Genomic DNA, 6075 nt, shown 5'->3' with positions numbered 1-6075 from the left:
GAGATACTAAGTAGCTTCATGTCTGGTAATACGTGAGTAGTAGAGCTGCAATTTGAATAGCTGTCTGATTTACCCACACTCTTTTATACTCTCTTTGCTAATGCTCTAGCCAACTGATAATGGCTATTTCGTGGGAGAGCCAAAGAAGTGGGGAGAGGGCATCTGGGAATTTTTCAGGAGGACTGGAGAATAAATGACTGCACTGTCCTGGACACTGCTTTACTAAGTGCTGAAAGCCAGGCAAATTCACTGTTGTAATCCCAGTGTTAGGCACAGAGGAAATCAATAAATGTGAAGTGAATGAAGATAATAGAGGCTCGTTATATTTGTTCTGAATGGAATTGAATTTTAAAACCGCTGTCATATCAACAGTCAGGGTGTCTCAATGTCTGTATAGGAGGGGTTTCGGGAATGGCACACTGGTTGAAAGGGGGCCCAGGTAGACTGTCCTGGAGCATGTCAACGGGCAGGTAGGTGGCTTTGATAATGGTGGTTATGGTAAATAGTGACGATGACAACTCAGGATGCACTGAAGTCCTTGCAAGACTGCCCAGCATGGAGACTGAGGATCCTATCCAGCCCAATGGTGGGTCAGTGGTTGCGTGACCATGAAGAGCCTCCCACCTACCATAGACATTACAGGGGGCCTGTGGAGGACAGGAGGGATTGGCCTGGTGCCTTTCACCACCCTGGTCAGCTCTCTGCTGCCAGCAGCACTGCAGCTGGGCTGCCCAGGGTGTTTCCTGCTATGCGATGACAGTGTGATGGAAGAGCCAGTGCCTTGCAATCCTGCAGCCCTGCCAAACACTGGGTACGTGCGTGTTCACATGCAGTCAGCTGCATTCCCGAGAACCCACCCAGCCTAATGGGGCCCACAGACAGGGGTGGGAGAGTCGCTTTCCCTAATGTAACATCTTAGCGCATTAATCACAAGCAAAATCAAAGCAATTTTTCCCCAAACATAAACCTATGTCGATTACATGGGTTCAGAACAGGGCTGCAGCAGGGTCCAGCTGGACTCGCCGGCCCCGTGTCCATGGATGGAATCAAAGAGTACAGAGGATGTAGGAGATAAAGTTTCTCTGTTAGGGAAGAGTTTGAAACTGGCTTCAAAGGAAAGAGAGGGGTGTTATTGTTGAGGTTTGGGTCTCAGAGGAAGACATCATTCCAGCTGAACACTTAACAAACCAAGCCCACAGAAATGGAAATTCTAGACTTTCTGGTTGGAAGCACCTGGAGGCCCAGGTTTTACTCATCTCTCTTCTCTGAGTTGCAGCACTTTTTTTTTTTTTTGAGACAGAGTTTTGCTCTTGTCACCCAAGCTGGAGTGCAGTGGCGCGATGTCGGCTCACTGCAACCTCCGCCTCCTGTGTTTAAGTGATTCTCCTGCCTCAGCCTTCCAAGTAGCTGGTATTACAGGCGCCCGCCACCACACATGGCTAATTTTTTTTTTTTTGGTATTTTTAGTAGAGATGGGGTTTCACCATGTTGGGCAGGCTGGTCTCGAACTCCTGACCTCAGGTGATTCGCCCACCTCGACCTCCCAAAGTGCTGGGATTACAGGTGTGAGCTACCGCGCCCAGCCAGCACTTTTAATATGTCTCTCAGAGAGTAGCCCTGGATTAAGCAAGAGCTTCTCCCATTCTCTGGAGGTTTCTTCTCTGCAATCCAACCTCCCTTGCCAGCCTCTGAGTGTTTTTATTATTATTATTATTCTCGCTCTGTTGCCCAGGCTGGTGTGCAGTGGTGCAATCTCGGCTCACTGCAACCTCCACCTCCCGGGTTCAAGCAATTTTTGTGCCTCAGTCTTCTGAGTAGTTGGGATTACAGGTGTGAGCCACCACACCCAGCTAATTTTTGTATTTTTAGTAGAAACGGGGTTTCACCATGTTGGCCAGTCTGGTCTCGAACTCCTGGCCTCAAGTGATCCATCTGCTTCAGCCTCCCAAAGTGCTGGGATTATGGACATGAGCCAACATGCCCAGCTTCTCTGAGTGTTTTAAATCCAGAGACCATTTTCTTTCTTGCTAGGCATCTATTTGAGTTATTGTGAGTGAAAGCACACTGTAAATGAAAATGTACTGTACAAATAGGAATGTCATTGAAGATGCTTATGTTCTTCTTAGAACCTAGAACTGTGCCGACCTGGAGCACAAACACAGCGAAGATCCGTCAAGGCCTGGTCTGGTGGCTCACGCCTGTAATCCCAGGACTTTGGGAAGGCTGAGGTGGACAGAATGCTTGAGCTCAGGAGTTCAAGACCAGTCTGGGCAACATGGCAAAACCCCATCTCTACGAAAAATACAAAACAATTAGCTTGGCCTGGTGGCATATGCCTGTGGTCCCAGCTACTTGGGAGGCTGAGGTGGAAGGATTGCTTGAGCCCGGGAGGTCGAGGTTGCAGTGAGCTGAGATTGCACCACTGCACTCCAGCCTGGGAGACAGAGCGAGACCCTGTCATGAAAAAAAAAAATCTGTTGAATAAATGAAACGATTGGAACTTGGAACAGCTCTCTTGTTGGCTGCTGTGAAAACTGTCTCATCACAGCCTGCTTCCAGTTTTACTACATTCGCCTTGTTTCTATAAGCAAGAAAAAGTGAGGATGTCTGATGAGACATGTCTACAGAGGCAGGGTGTTACATGTAACCTTTCCCAGAGAAAGAGAGGCCATCATAGCCCAGGAAGAGTTTCTATCTTTTCTTTCTTTCCTCGGCAGCCTGGTTATCATGTTTCTAGGGAGAAAAAGATATTTCCCAGAACAGCCCAGAGAAAAGAATTAAATAAAACCTGGGCCTCTGGGTGCTTTGAACAAGAAGCTATTGGACTTTTGACCCTTTAAATTCTACCAAATTTGAGGGGGAGGGCGGTACTTTCTCACTTATGAAATATATCAAATTGGGACAAACATATAATAAAATTAAGCTCATAAATTTTAACAATCACACGTGCTTGCTCTTAGAAGCCTCTAAAAATTTATGCCCAAGTTTCGATTTTATCTGTAACTATAACTTTGTTTTCACTAGAAGGGGAAGTTCCTCCAGCAGAGGGTAATTTAATTTTGCCAGTAACCAGACACATTCTGTTTAGACTTGGAATCTTTTTAAAATGGTAGCTTTCTATCAATCACCTACCCAAAGCATGTTTGGATTATGGACTCTTCTAGAAAGGGGCTGTCTGCTTATTGATGATGTGGTGACCAAGGGGGACGGACCACCTTATCTGCAGCAGCTTCGCAGAGGAAATATGATCAATATCTATGTGTTAATTAGCCGGAAATGGCTTGGCCACTGCTCTCTTGCCACGTGGCCTCCCCCATCCCCTTTCAGTTCAACACTTCTTTCTCTGTGAATGGCCATCGGACACTGAAGGGAGAGAAGAATTCAGCAACAGTGAAAACATAACTTTCCACTCCATCACAAGAAGCCAAACACAGCAACCATATTCAAAGAGTTCTTTGTCCACAAGATAACGTTTGAATTGGAAACTTGTTTAGCCAGATTCTCTTGTTATGATTTACTGCTTCATCAGGTAGGGGCAGGGACAGACACGATCCATCCTTTAAATAATAGGAGGATTCCCACAGGAAGGTTCAACAACTCCAAATGTGTATTTAAAAAAAAAAAAAAATCCCTCCTTTCCCTGCACCTCAGCTTCCAAGGTGGAAAAATGTGCCTCTGACTGCTTGCAGGTGCCCAAATAACCATAGACAACAGCGTGTGACTTTCAAGTTGGAGAGGAAAAAGTAGCCAAGAGTAGTCATATTTAGAATACCTTCTCTCCCAAGGTTTCAAGACGGGAACAGAGATGGGAGGAATGGGAAGAGAAGGAGAGAAAAGACGGAGAGACATCTCCCTCCATTCCTGGGAGAACAATCGCCTTTGTTCACAGCAGGCTGAGAGAGCTGCTTGGGAAACGCCGGATCTGGGCTCAGGGCAGGTTAGAGCCTGTGTGTACGCGTGAGGTCTCCCGGTGACCAAGGGCCCAGGTGGGTGGGCCTGGAATGCTGATACTGGAGCGGGGCTGAGGGGGTGTGTTGGCCCATTGTCTGCCCACCTGCACCCAGAGCTCCCCACTGTGTCGCCTCCTCAAGCCCCCTGCAGCATTCCCGGTGGGGGATGGAGGGAGCAGGGATTTCCTGCCTCCCTCGGGAGAGCCTGGTTGGCTTTTAGGGATGGACTGATATTCCAATTGCCCAGTTGTTGGGGAGTTGGAGGGGTAGGAAGGGTCTGGTCCAGGATGAGCCATAATTACCTGGGGAGTTAAAAAGGAAAACAAAACAAATTCCTGGGGCCCTTAAGATCTTTTGAATCTGAATCTCCATGGAGATCAGGCTTGAGATCTCCATGGAGATCTGGGTATTTCTCATGCTACTGGTGGGGAAACTGATGACTTGTAAGATGCCTTTTAGCATGAATATAGTCTATGTTTTGTCTTAAACCTGCTAATGCATATGAACTAGTTGGGAATTCCAAATCTAAAAATTGGCCAAACTGCTCTGGGGCTTGCATGGTCCCCGGGGGCAGCCTCCTGCAGCTAATATGTTTCCTAAGATGGGTTTGGGGAGGCCTGTTCACCTGGAATCCTTCAATCTCTGGACTCCCAGAACATGGACTGATAGAGTCATCGGGCTTATGTTTTCAAGGCCTGATGTCTTGGAAAAGTCAGGCATGGTTGATTGTAGACCCAGGTCAGATGCTGGGAAACCAGAGAGAATGGGACTAAGAAGCCACTGACATGCTGAAGACCAGGATATCCTGCACAGCAAGGCCTCTCCAGGCTCCATCTCATCCCTCCTCCTGGCCCACCTGAGCTCTTGGGGGTGGCCCACCTGCTATCTTCCCTGCTTGGCTACCTCCCCTCTTTGCATTTTGACTTTTCTGCTCCTACACCCCTTTTGTTTTGTTTCTTATGCTTTATTTATTCATTTTCTTTTATTCCTCATGCCCCACTCCCTTTTCTCAATTCCTTAGGCAACTATTCTCATGTCCTGAGAGTAGATCTTTTGGTTTGTGTGTGGTCTTGCAAAATGTGTATTGCTGTCTTGGTCATCAATTCATTCAACAAGTATTTGTTGAGTACCTGCTTTGTGCCAGGCATTCGGGGATACATTAGTGAAGAAAACTGACAAGGATCCCTGGAATGTGTATTCTAACAGGGGATGCAACACAATCATCTATACACATAAAAAGACAAAAAATTATCAGTATGTTAGAAGTTGGTAAGTGCTGTGGGAAAAAATAATCCAGAAAAGGGGATCAAGAGTACTGGAGGGAGAAGGAGAGTTTGGGCAGGTCGCTGTATTTTTAATTCACATATATAGTATTACTACATACCTCATTTTATCTTCTGCTTTTTTTTTTTTTTTGCTTTAGCACCAAATTTTAAAGATTCTCCCAAGCTGCTATGAATGCATTTAATTTGTTGCTTCTAACTGCTGTGTCATATTCCATCGTGTGTATTTACCACGATTACTTATTCACCCACCCGGAGATGGATGCTCTGATTGCTCCCAATTTCCCATGCAATCTGCATTATTGGAGGTTAGGAAATGTAGTTGAGATCAGCTTGGCATGGTGGCTCACGCCTGTAATCCTAGCACTTTGGGAGGCCAAGGCAGGCGGATCACGAGGTCTGGAGATCGAGACAATCCTGGCTAACACAGTGAAACCCCGTCTCTACTAAAAATACAAAAAATTAGCCAGGTATGGTGGTGCACGCCTGTAATCCCAGCTACTTGGGAGGCTGAGGCAGGAGAATCGCTTGAACCAGGGAGTTGGAGGTTGCAGTGAGCCGAGATCGTGCCACTGCACTCCAGCCTGGCAACCAAGTAAGACTCCGTCTCAAAAAAAAAAAAAAAGAAAAGAAAGAAAATGTAGTTGGGATCTTTACAGAGTGGATGCAACAGCCCACACTCCCATCAGCATGTACAAGGGTGCCTATGTCCCCCTAACCCTGCCAACACTTGGTATTACCCGGCTTCCTGGATTTTTCCCCCAGAGCATTCTGGTTTCTGTTATTGCCTCTTCTGCTAAAATAACCTTCTGTTATTGCTTTCCTTGCCCCTGTACTCACTT

The 6075-nt window shown here is 46.6% G+C and overlaps 3 annotated features.

The window, feature by feature from the left end:
- Positions 229-731: an enhancer, noted in NCBI's record as "H3K4me1 hESC enhancer chr2:202864220-202864722 (GRCh37/hg19 assembly coordinates)". NCBI's record gives its function as "activates a minimal SCP1, AML or CMV promoter by ChIP-STARR-seq in naive H9 embryonic stem cells {active_cell/tissue: H9 hESC(naive)}" and the evidence as "EXISTENCE:reporter gene assay evidence [ECO:0000049][PMID:30033119]".
- Positions 732-1235: an enhancer, noted in NCBI's record as "H3K4me1 hESC enhancer chr2:202863716-202864219 (GRCh37/hg19 assembly coordinates)". NCBI's record gives its function as "activates a minimal SCP1, AML or CMV promoter by ChIP-STARR-seq in naive H9 embryonic stem cells {active_cell/tissue: H9 hESC(naive)}" and the evidence as "EXISTENCE:reporter gene assay evidence [ECO:0000049][PMID:30033119]".
- Positions 3504-4068: an enhancer, noted in NCBI's record as "OCT4-NANOG-H3K27ac-H3K4me1 hESC enhancer chr2:202860883-202861447 (GRCh37/hg19 assembly coordinates)". NCBI's record gives its function as "activates a minimal SCP1, AML or CMV promoter by ChIP-STARR-seq in naive H9 embryonic stem cells {active_cell/tissue: H9 hESC(naive)}" and the evidence as "EXISTENCE:reporter gene assay evidence [ECO:0000049][PMID:30033119]".

This window comes from Homo sapiens, chromosome 2 (genome assembly GCF_000001405.40).
Source record: "Homo sapiens chromosome 2, GRCh38.p14 Primary Assembly".
In the NCBI taxonomy this organism is placed as follows: domain Eukaryota; kingdom Metazoa; phylum Chordata; class Mammalia; order Primates; family Hominidae; genus Homo; species Homo sapiens.
This window is presented reverse-complemented; position numbering and strand designations above follow the sequence as displayed.